Consider the following 15,474-nt stretch of genomic DNA (forward strand, 5'->3'; position numbering starts at 1 on the left):
AGAGAGGCACACTGTGGTTACTTAATGTAAGTTAAATGAATAAATAAATGAATTCAGACTGACCCAGTAATAAAGTGAAGGGAATTTTATTCAGTTATGTATCAGCTCTCCTTAACGGAATGGATTGGCCAAAATGGGATCCATTTCAATGTGCCTGACAACATACGAAGCCACAGGAAAGAAATAATTGAGACCAGAAATGGAAGTGGTAGTGGAAGAGTTGGTAATTTAAAAGTCTCAGTATTAAATTTGCTCGGTGTTTTAAAGTACGCACATTAAAAGTAATATAGGCAAAAACCCAAAGTAAGTATTTCACACCACCAGGCTTTGTAATGCTCCATTTTAAGCAAAGAGTGCAGTAATATCTCTGAATAAATATGCACTGTGTTTATACATATTAAGAGTCATAAATCCCAGTTTTATACCACAGAAAATGAAAGGCCTGAGAAGTAACTTCACTAAAGTCATACATTTGGGATTTGAACCCAAGATTGCCTGGCTCCAAGATTAATGGTCTTAACATTATGGTGCCTTGAAAACTGTAAAGGATTCTTCTATTAGAAAACACTTAACCTCTAGGTAATGTAGAGCCATTAAATAGACGAATAATAATCAGCTGTATTCCAATGAAATATTATTCATCAAAGAGAGCAACATAACAAGGAATATACTTACTCATTCCTGAGCACTCTCTATCACCATCCCATACATTAGAAACAGCATGTCCCGTCAGCAGGAGATTAATTAAACTTTGGCTATTAATAAATATTAAAAAGCAATTAAATATGAATATAGTTGCCAAATCAAATAATTCCTACAGCAAAGTATAAAGTAATGACTTTTCACATTAAATTATGTAAGAATTTACAAAGTTAGGGAAAACCTTACATTTTCAATTTTATATATTCGGCCTTGCTAAATGTATCACCAAATATATCAGCACAGTGGTATTTATTGTTCTACATATTCACATACATTTAACAACTTTATCTAAGATATATTTAAATGGATAAAAAATGACAGACTAATAAGTTACTTAATATTTACAATCTTTAAAAATGAATATATAATTATTAATATTTTGTCTTTGATGAAAGATACATGAACTTTCATCTTTCAGGCAGAAAGGTCTAAAAAGAAGGACTCACGTATTAGAGTAGGTTAACTATCACTGTTTCATTGAGTTTTGGTAAAAATAGCCATAAAAAGCTTGAGGAGGGTGGTCCGAGAGGAAAATGGGGAATGTTTTTCTCCCAAGCAGAGAAGCACTTACAAAGATATACTTATTTCTAAGTCAAAATGAATAAATTTTCTCATTTAAAAAAATTACAAATGGATTTGTTAAAATACCTCCCCACTGTTATCTTAAAACAAAATATTTGCCCCAATAAATGCATACATAAAATGAAATTAACATTTCATACATCAAGCAAACAATGCATAATACAAAGAAGTGCTCAAATCCATACATGTTGTACTGTCAACACTACTGACAAACAAAATTACTTGACTCAGTCATGTTTTATCTGAAGTCAAGTTTCTAAAAACTGGAGTTCACATGAGGAGACAAGAGATTTTAGTTAATTACCTGCCATGTCCATATACAGGATCTATCAAGGGTTCACTTGCATCTTCAATTTCGTTTTTTATGTTTTCAATGCCCTAAAGAAACAGAATTCATTGACTTATTTTAAAAAACTAAAATGAAAATTATGACTGTTTAAAAACTGACTAGTTTACACTATAAACTAATACAATTATTTAAGTAACTTTTCTACCACAAGTAACTCAGATTTGAAATGGGGGTGCATTTGAGATAACTTTAAAAAATAGTTCCTCAAATATCTTTTATTTTCTTTCATGGGCTCTATATAAACAACACTCATGGGTGAAATATGTACCGTTGGTTAAAAGGGCAAGGAGAGAGAATTAACTTTTAATAGGAGAAAGGAGAAATTATTTAATAGTTAAATGAATTATTTAAAAGTTAAATGAATATGAGCCTGTTAAGGCAACTGATTTTTTTAGATCATGTAAAAACTTATTGCAGTAAATACATACACACATGAATATCGATAGAGATATAACATTAAATAATTTGCGTTTTAATTATTTAACTGGTACATAAAATGGAAGGTTTACTTCTGATTGTACTTTCTCACAAATGTTGGTCATTCAAATGTATACTGACAAAATGCAAATTAGGAGGGCAGGAAGTGCCTTCTTTTCTTAAAAACCAATTTCCTGATACTTTTTAAACCTTCAGAAGGGCACTCAACTCCCAAAAGTTCTACATACTGGATAAGTACAAGAAGACCTACTTATTGTAACCTCATCAATTCCAGAAGGACAAAGATAAACTGCTATTCATTGTTCTATTCACTTAACTTTAGCCATTGTTTCTATCATATTAGAGGTCATTTCTAAGAATTAAATAGATGATTAATTAACAACCAAGATTTTTAAAGAATGACTAAATCCCGCAGGGGGAAACAAAGAAGCATGAGCTCTTGCATATGCCATCCTCCTAAACAATACAAATCAGGCTATGATAATGTCAAGATGAATACTATCAACAAGTGACACAATCACTACTGAGGAAGGGGATACCATTTTAAAGACCAGGTCAAGGAAGGACAACTTGCATGATAATTTATTGGCTGTAAAGAAGAAGAAACAGAGGAGGTATCAAACGTTTTGAGCATAAGAAAGTTGGAGAATACTGAACAGTCAAGAAGAGCTTATAAGAAACCAGTCATCTTAGATACCACCATCACAGCTACTCCGAACATCTACACAACTAAGCACTTTGGGTTCTCTTATTTATTTACATTTAATATTCCAAATAGGTATTTATTTACATTTCTAAATATACTCCTTTTGTTTTCCATTCCATGACCTGTCCTAGTTTAGGCTGCTCTTATTTCAATACCCAATTTTCTAGTTTTCCTGACTCTAGTCTTATATTACAAACACCAACTCCATCCATCACAACTCCTATCCCAATTTAAGATATCTTTTATCAACAAAAAGATCTTGTCACTCCCTTGTTCAAACTTTTTACTGTGTTCCAATTCTGAGCAGATGAAACCTACTCTTTGTACAGTGTACATAGAAAGGTCTTCATATTCTAAGTCTTTTCTTACATATGTGCCCAGTCTCATCTTCCACAGTTGCCTCTCTGGTGTCTTATGCTACAGTAAGGCTCAACTACTTAGAGCTCCCCAAACCTGCATTATACCCTCAATCCCTTACACTTTTATACTTGCAGTGCCCACTGCTGGAAAAAATGTCCTCCAGCTTTCCCATATAGAAAACTTGCCCTCATGCATCAAGGTCCTATCTCTGTCAGATGGTCCCTACTAGAAACAGTATGCCCTTGATTCCATCTAATAGGTTCAGACAGAAGACCAAACGCCAAAACACACTGCCATAATGGAATTATTAATGTGCCATTTTTTTACAATGCTAAATAGATACCATTAAAAATGCATCCCATATTATTAATACAGACATAGTCCCTAGCATAGAGTCAATCAACGCTCAAAAAACATTTGTCAAATAAAAGAAGTTTGATTTCAGACATGATAGATCTAATAGCATAGTCAACTGAGACTAACACGTTACTAGAGCTATGAGACTGGTATTTGGGGAAAAAGAGTAGGACTAGAAGGGGACATATTGGAACTATTAAATAGCTATATAAAGGTAACCTGAGCAAATGAAATATCCATAAAAGGCATACTGGATCCAGGGAAGAAAATTTCTGGACTATAAAAATTTAGAGGAGGAGAGAAAAGAGCAGGAGGTAACAGATAAAGAAGGAAACAAAGCTATCAAAGAAAACAAAACAAAATAAGAATCGTGAGACATTATAGAAAGAAAACTCACACAGTGATTTTTCAAAAAAAAAATCAAGAAATGGAATCAAGGTCAAAAACAGCTTCCAGAAGGGGTTAAGGGGTCAAGTGCTACACGGAAGGATCAAAGGAAACACAATTTGGAAGAAAGGACAGCATTTCACAACCAGAACATTATTGATAATCTCTGTAGTCCAAAAGAGCAGAGGTGAAACTGCTTAAGCAACGAGTGAGTGCTGAGGAAACAGAAATTAACTCATTTTCAACGTAAAAGATTTTTATTCTAAGAATTTAAAAACACCATCAGGAATAAAATTACTCATCACTGCAGGAAAAACAGCACTGAACAACATTAATCAAAGGCAGAAAAATCATCTTCTTGAACACACCTTTGTCAGTAATACAGAATACAGAAAAAGCAATACTCCAAATTTATTTCCCCACATTGAATACTGGTCCAAGACAGCATCTTTTAATTCTGGTAAACTTCTGAACGATCTTTTTCTGGGGGAAAAAAAGAATTAAGTATTGGTATCATGATGAGATTAACTACATTCATAAAAGGGAAAATTTTTAAATTTTCTTATACATTAAAACATATACATACAAACAGGAAAGTTTTGGGACGTTTCTAAATTTTTCATTACAAATTTAGCCACTAAAACCAAAAGCTATTTCTGACAACTATCACTATATATGATATTTATCATTAAGAAAGAACACCTACTTGGCAGGGAACCTCTTCATCTCTTAGGTGAACTGTCTGGCATCAGTAAATTCTTCAATAATATACAGTTATTTAAAGAATAGAGTGGCCTTCTTGTAAGAGGGGGTAAACACAAAGAAAACTTCACTTTTTAAATCCTAGAAATTACTTAACAAATATCTTAATGCCAAAGATAACTTACACATTTGCGGCTTCTTTTAAAAGAAATTAATGTTACATTTTAAACCAAATGCCACCCATAATTCTATCAACAGCCATCTTTACCTTTTACTTTGTAATAAAAAGTTTAAATGCTCTAACAAAAATATCGGTATTCTTAATAAAAGGTATAGAAAACAGATACTGGCAAATAAATAATTCTAATATTTATCCTACTAGAAATCTTCATATTTGTTTAGGTCACAGAAACATTAAGCTAAAATGATTTTTTTTCATTGTAATGATGAAAAAGCTTTTTAATGTTTTTGAAAAGCGTATCTGGGTAGTTAATTAAGGACTCAGCATAGTTTATACATTTACAAACTATTTTAATTTAAAGGCAAATTAATCCTGAAGCAATGGATTTAAAATTTATGTTTAAGTAGCGCATTTCTATGTAAAACTAAGAACCTTTCCACAGTATGAACAGACTTAAAGTGGCAATGTGTCCACAGAGTAAGTATTTTAAATGTTCCAATGTTACTTACTGAATTAATGCATGAAATCGCTCAAAGCCAAGCTCTTCGACAGCCAAGGCAGCTATACATAAAAGACACTTTTCAGCACTACACATGGCAAATAAATGACACAAGATACACACAGCAGGCTGTAAATACTTTCAAGCAATCAAAACTTTCCCTATTTCCTTACTCCCTTAAAATTCTCAGTTTATTTTCAACTTCATTATAACATGAATTTATATTTCAACATCTTTATTATGAATATAACTAAAATCGATATAATACTGAGAATATAGAAGGGTGATTAAATAACATTTCAGTTCAGCTATGCTACGGCAGTTATAAAGTATGAAAAATTACTGATAATCAGTGCCTCACATATCATAATGTGTCCTGCACTTTTAAATAATCTTTCAGATTATATAAATCCAAGTAATATCATCAGAGCTAACCTTCCTTTTTATAATATAAAATCTTTAGGTTTAAGGCTTAATTATTAAACAAACATGTATAAAAAGGCATAACACTTTCAAACTACACAGGTTCAATGACAGCTTTAAGTTTGTTTCCTCATTTATTTGTATAACTGTTAAAAAGTTTTCAGTAACTTATTTAGATTATGTTTATTAATCAAAGGAAATAGAAGAAAGCATTTTAATCAGAGGTAATGTTTATTGAGCACTTTACTAAGTGCCAGGCCCTTTTCTAAATGCCCTACATGTCTTACCTCATTTAATCCTCATATAAACCCTCTTAGCTCCATTTTACAGAAGAGGAACCTGAGGCACACAGAAAAATCCTCTCAAGAGTACATAGGATTAAACAGCAGAGATGAGACTTGAGCACAGATAGTCTTGGCTCCAGGGAGTTATTTATCACAATGAATAACTTCACATATATTTCATAAAGCAAATCTTACTACTATCAAATATAAATTCTCACTGGTGAGTTAAGAAAATTGATTCATTATGAAGTCAAAATTTTAGATTTTTATTTACAATTTAAAATGTCACATTATGCTAGCTTTCCAAAGCCTAGTTGTGAGTGTTTCATATTTCGTTTTAAAATCTTTAGCAGTCCAAATGTATTAAGTTATTTCTTGGTTTATGTGGGAAACAAACTGAAATTGAACCTGAGTATTCACTACTGCGAACAACTGTGCATTACCAACAAGCCAAAACTATACACACCACATAAGCCAATGAAATTAATGTTTGTAGAGAAAGTAATATTAACAAGAGGGGAAAACACTTTACATTAAAACTTTCAGAAAATGAAAATTCTACCTAATCTTTTCCAAATTATACTGCTTGTTCTGCAACATTAGATTATCTAAATAGTTTTACTGGGTATACTACAAGAGTAGACATAAAGATAATAATTTAGAGAAAAGAGGCAAGCAAAATAAAAAGCTTAGCAGGCAGGGATGGTGAAAAAATATAAAACACAAGAAAAAGAACAAAGCTGGGAATAAAGGAAAGAACAGGTAAAATAGATTGTTACACGGAATAAAAATTGTAATATAAATACAGTTCATTTGTCACTAAGGTAAATTCTCAAATTTTCAGTTAACAAAGTATTTCAAATGTATACATTATTTAAAAAATTTAAAATATGGTTTACTTCATGGCAACTTTTAAAATGAGATACAAAGTAAACTGGAAAAATTACTAAAATGTTTTCTGGAGGGTAATTCAATATAATATGCCCATCTAAATTAGTTACTGAAGTACCAAAGGGAATGCATTATAAGGCCCTTTAACCTATAGCAACGTGACGTATCACCACAGAACTGCATAGCATATTTCATAGTATGCACTCAGTATACTGTTAAGATACTAATGGAAAATGTTATATAAAAAGATCTTACTATTTTCTCACATCAATATACAGACTGGCTTTAAGCACAAAATCTTTAAAATACCTTTTCAAAAGATCAACAATTCCTCTTTCAAAATTTTAATATCCTAAATGAACCTATTAAGTGTGCTAACACCCACACAGTAAAACCTGGAGAATATGTTAAAACCAATCTTAGTGACACTTTGGACTAGCATCCTTGTGACTGTTTTCCACTTGTTGTCTTCAAATGTCATTATAAACTCTAAAATATGTTAAGTTCTTTTTGAAAGGCCATATTTCAAAGGCTTCAAAAGGAAGCATCATATAGCTGTTCAAATGTTCAAAATTATTCCTTGCAAATGTTACTACTATTAGAATTTGCCAGGCTTAAGGCATTTTAACTGCAGAGGTAGGAGAAAAAAGACACTGACAACACAGAGGCATTTTAGTCCAGGGAGGCAACAGCACCTTATAGATAATACTATATGGAAAGCAAAATGTGTATCCCATACAATTGAAGTGTACTTTCAGGTACGTAATCTCTTTACGAAAACTTTCCACAAAGATGATAGTTAATGTGATGCTCTGTGGGTAGAATAAGTCACTTATTTAACATAAGCACTTGGGACTACCAATTATAAAAAACCATCAACTAGCAAGATTATTCCTGAAAAGCAAATCAGAAAAGCAACTCTTAACTAGCTTCCGTACCACTAGCTGTCTCCATTTCACACTGGCAGCTTTCGGGTCAATTACATAACAATTTTCAAAAGTTAAAAACCACAGAATATATAATTTTTATGAATAATGAGAATAGCTATTATTTAACGTAAACAGCTATTATTTAACTTATCTTCAAGGTATGAAAAACTTAAGGCATAATTAAAATTGCCTTAAAATAATCTATATGTATAAAAATATCCAAATAATTCGGAAAGAAAAGAAACAGCTTGCAATGAGGAGAAATGTCCCCATCTTTGCTCTGGGAAGCAAGTAAAGATAACTTTATGAAATCTTCTGATGTCCAAAAAAATCCGTTTTTGCAATACCAAAGCAAAACATTAAGGCATCTGAAACTGAAGCATATCATTATTTCTAAATAAGAGTTCTAAAGCTCAAAAGAGATTATTATCAAGCAGAAGTTAACCAGAACATTTTTAAAAGTTTAAGAGATGCATTTTTTTTTGCAAAAATGTAGTATCTTCTAAGTAGTTAAAATAAATGATATGGAAATAAAAAATAGTGAGGCTCAGTAATTAAGCTTAAGCTGGAAAAGAATACATGTTATGAAAATTTTAAGTAATTTTTTCTTCAAAATATTCAATAGATTCATTAAAACAAAGGAACAAGAAAAAAACTTCAGGAAATAAAAATATATCTTACAAGAATGTTCCACTTGGCAACTAGACTCTGCAGGACTCCCAGAAATACTAGCAGTTTCCTCAGTTGTCTTTCCTCTTAACCATGAAACCAAGCAGTATGATCCAGAGTGGTCACAACAAGCACTTTCTAAAATATCACACAAGGTATGACAAAGGAGTTCCTTCTGCTCTTCCTCTAAAAATAACCAAAGCATAAGTTATAATGGTTTCCTCTGGAAAAAAAAAAATTCTGTCATGAATAACAATAGTAAGAATGGGTTAATGATGAAAATCAAGCATTTTAAAAATGGGGGAAAAATCTCTAAATAGATTTTAAATTATGTCTTAGAAAAACAATGTGTTTGTGGATTAAAATATCACCACTTTAAATAAAGCCATCCAAATAACACCACCAAGTAGAAAAAGAATACTGAAAAATGCAGAACTAAACATTATGAAAGATCATAATGTGACACTGATCATCACTTTCTTAAAACTTTAGCAACTGCAGCATTTAAGCCAAGAGGTTTCCTCTACTGAAGAACTGAGCACAATGTAAAGGCCTGTTGAAACCTCTATTTTTTTTCCCTCACATCTGAATTAATCTAACGTCTATGATCACCCCGTCCCAAAGGGATAAGAATAATGAGATGAGAGACCGTCAGCACATATGTTACCAAAGTCCATTACATCAGCAGAAGCCAGTGGTTAGAATACAGATTTGAGCATTAGAATTTTATAGAAAATGGCGCAAATGCTCAGACCATCTCTTTATGAACCTTAGCCACACTCTTTTCAAGCAGTATTACTCTCAAGAAGTAGTATTACTTTCTGAAACTTTCAAAAATTTTATGATACAAGGAGGTTTCTGTCTCTCCTAATGGATTAACAGTTCTTTAACTGCAGGAACTATGCTGTTCACTTTCTAATCACCACAGTATTTATGACACTTATGACAATGCTTTACAAATGTTTTATCAAAGTGAATATAGTGAATATAGTATAAGAAATAGTATAAATTTTATTAAAAGTTCATTTCAAAAATAGTATCTCAAATAGTTTCTTCTCTACTAAAATTTGTTTTGTATTTCACCTATTAATTTAAAACTTATGGAAGTGATCCCTTAACTCTTAAATTCAAAATCATTAGTAGATTCTATAGTCATGGTTTGGAATGTAAGCTGTTACATCCTTAGATACAAAACTGGGATTGTAATGTGTCCTAACTTCTTCCAGAATTTACTGTGAGGTTCACAGGAAATTGTGTAAGTGAAGGAAAGATCTTTGTAAACTGTCACGTGGAATGCAAATTCTTGTTATTATAAGGTGGCACCACACATCTCTCTGGGTACAGAAGCTCATGTTACAGAAGCTATGACAGCTTCATTTGCAATTTCATCCAAAATTATTTGCAGTATTTGCATTGTGTAAGGCATTATACTAAAACATGCAGGAATATAATGATAATTCTGAGGTCTTGCCCACAGCTAAATAAGACTACAAAAAAAAAAAAAAAAAAAAGACTGTTCTTTATGGCATGCTGCCACCTAACAGTTCTAGGAAATGCACCGTGTTTTACCAAGAGGCCAAACGTTTTTCCCTTAGTTATACCATCATGTCTTATAACCCCTGGTTAGAAAGCCAAATTTGGAAATATGGAGTCACTGTTCATGAAACTTTCTAAAACATTTTAAAAGGAAACCTCAGGAAAAAAAATTCCCACTGATACTTGACTTTCTCAGATAATTTTAGATCATCTCTATTAAAACAGAGGAGGAAGCAAAAGTTTTAAAAGACAGCTATCATACCTGAACAATCCCGCCAAGAAGACTTCTCCGAAGAAAACAGGAGCTTCTTCAAAAGAAATGCCTTTACACAATTAAAGCAATAATTAGTGAAATGCATTATAACCATACATCATATCATTCTTCAATTTTAAAGTGGGAAAAAATAATGTGTACTCCCTTTCTAATCTTTTGACTAGTTCTGTAAAGATGTCAAATGGGTTCCCCTCACATTTGACAGGAACTGTGCAGTTATTTATTCAGAGTATACTGCTATAAACTTGATTCTAGATTCATAAAATTCTTCTTCTTCCACAATACATATTTTCTGACAAGTAGAAGAACTAACTCACATAACAGAATAACTGAAAAGCACACAAACTTACTGCTCTATTCACAAAGTGAAAGCCCTGTAGAACACGAACAAGTCTACATTTCATTTAGATTCCTTCAGGTAAAAGAAATCTAAATATAAAAGTGGTTCTGTTCCCTTAGTCTTCATCTGTGACACAAGATTAACACTATTAGAGTCATCACTTTATTATCAGGAGCTCAAGTTTAACTCAAAAAGGTACAAGATTCAGAAGAAAAGACAAATGGATTTCTAAACTTCCCCTTAAGCGAGTCAACGATGTTACATTGGTTATTTGATAAAAAGCTGCACAGTGAAGTGTCTACTTCTCAAAGTGTAGTTCAACGGTAGCTATATCCCAGTCACCTGACTTGTTTAAATTGCAGTTTCTTGGGCTCCACCTATTCTCTCTGAATCTCTAGAGGGCAGGTCCAAGAAAAAACAGGTTACAATGACGACTTTTCCTCACCTGTGTTTGAAAGTATTAGTGTACAGATTAGGAAGACTGCTTTTTATCAGGCAAACTTAGGTTTGAATCCTGGCTCCACTATTACTAACTAAAAATAACTGTACAAACTTTAAAAGTTTGCAGCGAAGATTATATGAGAAAATCTATGTAATGCACTTAGCACAGTACCTGGCACCAATAAACAATTCAAGGTGTTACAACAAAAAACTAAGTCATATTCCATTTACATAGGCATAAAGTCTACAAATATGCTAATCAAGCGCTTCTGATTTTTCCGCAAAAGGGCAACAACCATCAAGTAGAAAAGTATAACTACATCACAACATTTGAGAAGTGAGATGGGGATATTCATTATTTCACAGCCAATATAACTACTGTTAGCATTTTGACATGCTTCCTTCCCATCTTTTTTAATATCTAGTTTTAATTTTATTACAAGTGAAAAATCATAATGGGTATATGAATGTATTTTCTGTTTTTCTACAGAATTCGTAAGCATAATTCTTAATCACTACTTGTCTATCAAGCTATTTATCAAAGTTTACTTATTATTTAAATTACATTATTGTGCATTAGGTTGCTTGCAATTTTTTTGCTACTTTAACATATAAGCTCCTTTTTAAATACAACTTTTTCCATATTAAATATTTCTTTAGAAAAGATTCACAGAAACACAACTATTACATCAGAATCTGCACTGTCATGGTTCCAATTATAATTTAAAATTCCTACCCACAAATTTGTACTATATAGCAGTATATGAGTGTGCCAGCATCTTCCCACCCTTACATGCACTGGCAATTGTAATTTTATTTTTAAAGATGACAAAAAGTAAGAAATAGAACCTAGTTACAGTTTTATTTTTACTTTCCTGGCTTCCTAGTGAGGGTGAGCATCCTGATTATTTGGCTGTAAAGCATCATTCCACCTGTTATGACTGCACATCTATGCCCATTTCACCCCTGAATCTTAGTGTTTTTCTAATTAACTTCTCCAAGTTATTTATATAAGAAAGACAATATCCCTTTATTGCTAATATTTACTGCAAATATTTCTTAGTTTGGAAGTCTCTGTTTCTCTTAGAGTGTTGATGATACATTAAGTTTCTTATTGTTAAATATTATTCCAAGGATACATTTGATATATGGTACAAAATTATCTAAACTTATCTTCCCTTCAAAGTGCTAACAAGTCATATTGATGGGATTTATGGAAGTTTATTTTATTTCACCACTGATCTTAGTTCCTTCTTTATTCCTGGTGTGACAAATTCCTGGTAAATTGTGACAGGTAATGAGGTCTATGATTGTATTATGTATTTGGTTCCATTATTTTGCCTATTCTTCTTACACAGTATCATGATCTAATTTTTATACTCTAAAAAAGTTTTAATATATGTACTTGCTCACTTCTGGTCTCCTTAATAACTTAGTTTTGACTCTTACACTGAAATATTAATACAAACAAAATTCTTTACAAAGTTTACGTGACTCTTTTTTTTCCTTTTTAGAAACAGGGTCTCCCTCTATTGCCCAGGTTGGAGGGCAGTGGCATGATCATAGCTCACTGCAGCCCTGAACTCCTGAGCTCAAAGACCCTCCCCTTCTAGCCTCCCGAGTAGCTAGGACTACAGGTGTGCACTACCATGTCCAGCTAATTTTTTCAATTTTTTTTTTTTTTTAGAGCAGGGGTCTCACTCTGTTGCCCAGCCTGGTTTTGAACTCCTGGCCTTAGGCAATCCTCTTCCCTCAGCCTCCCAAAGTGCTGGGCTTACAGGTGTGAGCCACCGTGCCTGGCCTATGTGATTTTTTTTTTTTTTTTTTTTTTTTTTTGAGACAGAGTTTCACTCTTTCACCCGAGCTAGAGTGCAGTGGCGTGATCTCGGCTCACTGCAACCTCCACCTTCTGGTTTCAAGTGATTCTCCTGCATCAGTTTCCCGAGTAGCTGGGATTACAGGCGCCTGCCACTACACCCAGCTAATTTTTGTATTTTTAGTAGAGACGAGGTTTCACCACATTGGCCAGGCTGGTCTCCAACACCTGACCTCAGGTGATCTACCTGCCTCGGCCTCCCAAAGTGCTGGGATTACAGGCATGAGCCACCACGCCTGGCCGTGATTCTTAAACTTAATTACTACCTCAAAGGTATAGAAAAGTAGGTTCAGGATTTTGAATATAACCATCATTGCATAACACCCACTTGCAAAAATAACTACCACTACTGAAATATACTGTACTTTATAAAACAGGAAACTCCTGTGGTATACCCTCCATTTAACTATATTCATGCACTTGCAACAAAAACCTTGCTATTACTGACCAAGAGGGGCAGTATTTATATAATCTAATTTACATATGGACATAACAAGGAATCTTCAAATTGAGGTAACATTCCTACTAGCAACCAAAAGTTGTTTCAGTTACTCAGTACAACAGCTATAATTACTAATTTGTAGTTAAATCTCATTCTTCACATTCCATAATTCCAAGGCAAGATTCAGACATTCAAATTTTTCCTCATTTTAAAAAAATTCTCCTAATGCAAAAAAAAGTCAACTTAAAAAAATAAATGATCTATAAAAGATATTTTGGAATCAACCATAATTTTTCTTCCTCTACAGAAATATATTTTTAATAATGTAAGTATTATTATGCTCTATATAGAGCATAAGTTCTGAGAAACAAATTTACTTTGTAGCCAACAGTTTAGGAATGCATTTTTTTTTTTTTTTTGAGACAAAGTCTCGCTCTGTCGCCCAGGCTGGAGTACAGTGGCGCAATCTCGGCTCACTGCAACATCCACCTCCCAGGTTCACGCCATTCTCCTGTCTCAGCCTCCCAAGTAGCTGGGACTACAGGTGCCCACCACCACGCCCGGCTAGTTTTTTGTATTTTTAGTAGAGACGGGGTTTCACCATGTTAGCCAGGATGGCCTCCATCTCCTGACCATGTGATCCACCCACCTTGGCCTCCCAAAGTGGTAGGATTACAGGTGCGAGCCACCGTGCCTGGCCAGAATGCATTCTTAATACCCAATGAATAATAAATGCCACATTAAATATATATATTTTCAAAACACGATGGTTAAAACATAAACAATAAATTAGCTGTAATTTTTATAACAGTTCTTTTATAACACTTCCAAAGTAACACTGTCATTCACAGACATCATCAGTATTACAGTAAACTGAGAATTCAATTCTTGGTTTTAACAATTTAACAGTTTATAGCGAATCAGCCTTTGAAATTCAAACAATGTAACATACCAAGATTCCAAATCAAATAAAGACATTCCGATAAATCCTATGTTTTGTGCAAAGAAAAAACATTTTTGGTTTTTGAAATTGTTTGAAATCAGTTGTTACGAATTTTATTCAGAAAAGCCAAAGCTATAGCATAAAATAGTATAAGCTGCCAACTTTTTTCAAATTTGAAAAAGTTATAAGCCAGAAAAATATGAAATCACCTTCAGCTTTAGGAAAGTAACTTTTACAGACTGAAATAATGAAAATAGTACAATTACAGTGATTGTACCTATCTAGTGTATAACATGTTATTACTTAATAGGATCTCTGTGTTAAAGAAGTCAAGAAACTTCCTAATTTTCTGAAAGTCAGGGAACGCCTATTATTTTTCCTTGAAAATAAAGATTGTCAAAAGGCTACTATTGCACAACTCATCGATATGGTGAATTCATTTTTATTTTGGATATTTATTGTAATTTACATGAGCAAAAGTTAAGAGTTAATTGATTATGTCTCATAATTACTATATGGAGTACAGACATTAGAAAACGACAAGTATGAAACGTTTCAAAATGTCCCTCTAAGGAGTTGGTAAAGGAGTCTATGTTACCTGAACAGGTGCAATAACAGCACAGGGGCCACCTTCAAACTGTTCTAATGCAGATCCCTCTGATTCACTAAACACAAACCCTAAAAATGAAAGCAAGTAGGAAAGATTAAAAATATAATTCAAGTAGCAGCTAAAAGAATCTTTCATGTACTTTGCTTTGAGAATGATCACTTATCACAACAGCAAAATATCTTCAAATCATGAGGTGTGGATCAAGGAACCTTTTGAAAAAAAAATCTATAGAACCTATCCACCCCCACTCCCAAATGCACGTAAGAGTACATATACTCACACAATTTTGCACCCAGGAACTCCTCTAGGAGGATAAAGTATGGACTTTAGTAAAATGACACTGAATCTGACTTTTCATCTAAGGAGGACTAGATAGTCTACTAAATTCAAACAATTTTTAGAACTCTTTAAATACCATATCATTCTATCATTTCAAACTTTCTGTCACATTCTATAAGCTAATCATTACATGGCATTGGCCGGGCACAGTGGCTCACGCCTGTAATCCCAGCACTTTGGGAGGCAGAGGCGGGCGGATCACGAGGTCAGGAGA

General features: G+C 33.0%; 1 protein-coding gene and 1 long non-coding RNA gene across 15 annotated transcripts in view; one reads left to right on the top strand and one right to left on the bottom strand.

Annotated features, from left to right (window-relative positions):
- Positions 1–15,474, top strand: part of LOC124902383 (uncharacterized) — a 121,044-nt gene that overhangs the window by 95,198 nt on the left and 10,372 nt on the right. The gene's annotated exons all lie outside the window — the stretch shown is intronic.
- The window catches only part of MINDY3 (MINDY lysine 48 deubiquitinase 3), an 82,334-nt gene that overhangs the window by 54,781 nt on the left and 12,079 nt on the right, over positions 1–15,474 (bottom strand). For 9 of the 13 annotated variants that reach the window (XM_006717508.3, NM_024948.4, XM_011519694.2 and 6 more), the window contains 7 exons: positions 14,910–14,989; positions 10,258–10,318; positions 8,472–8,645; positions 5,274–5,325; positions 4,250–4,364; positions 1,589–1,662; positions 676–755 (listed from right to left, as the gene is read on the bottom strand). In XM_006717508.3, the coding sequence (XP_006717571.1) occupies positions 676–755; positions 1,589–1,662; positions 4,250–4,364; positions 5,274–5,325; positions 8,472–8,645; positions 10,258–10,318; positions 14,910–14,989 (636 nt within the window). Of the gene's footprint in view, positions 1–675; positions 756–1,588; positions 1,663–4,249; positions 4,365–4,587; positions 4,680–5,273; positions 5,326–8,471; positions 8,646–10,257; positions 10,319–14,909; positions 14,990–15,474 lie in introns of those variants that run through there. The other 4 variants (XM_047425774.1, XM_047425773.1, XM_005252600.3 and 1 more) reach the window with 3 other exon arrangements.

This window comes from Homo sapiens, chromosome 10, assembly GCF_000001405.40.
Source record: "Homo sapiens chromosome 10, GRCh38.p14 Primary Assembly".
Lineage (NCBI taxonomy): Eukaryota > Metazoa > Chordata > Mammalia > Primates > Hominidae > Homo > Homo sapiens.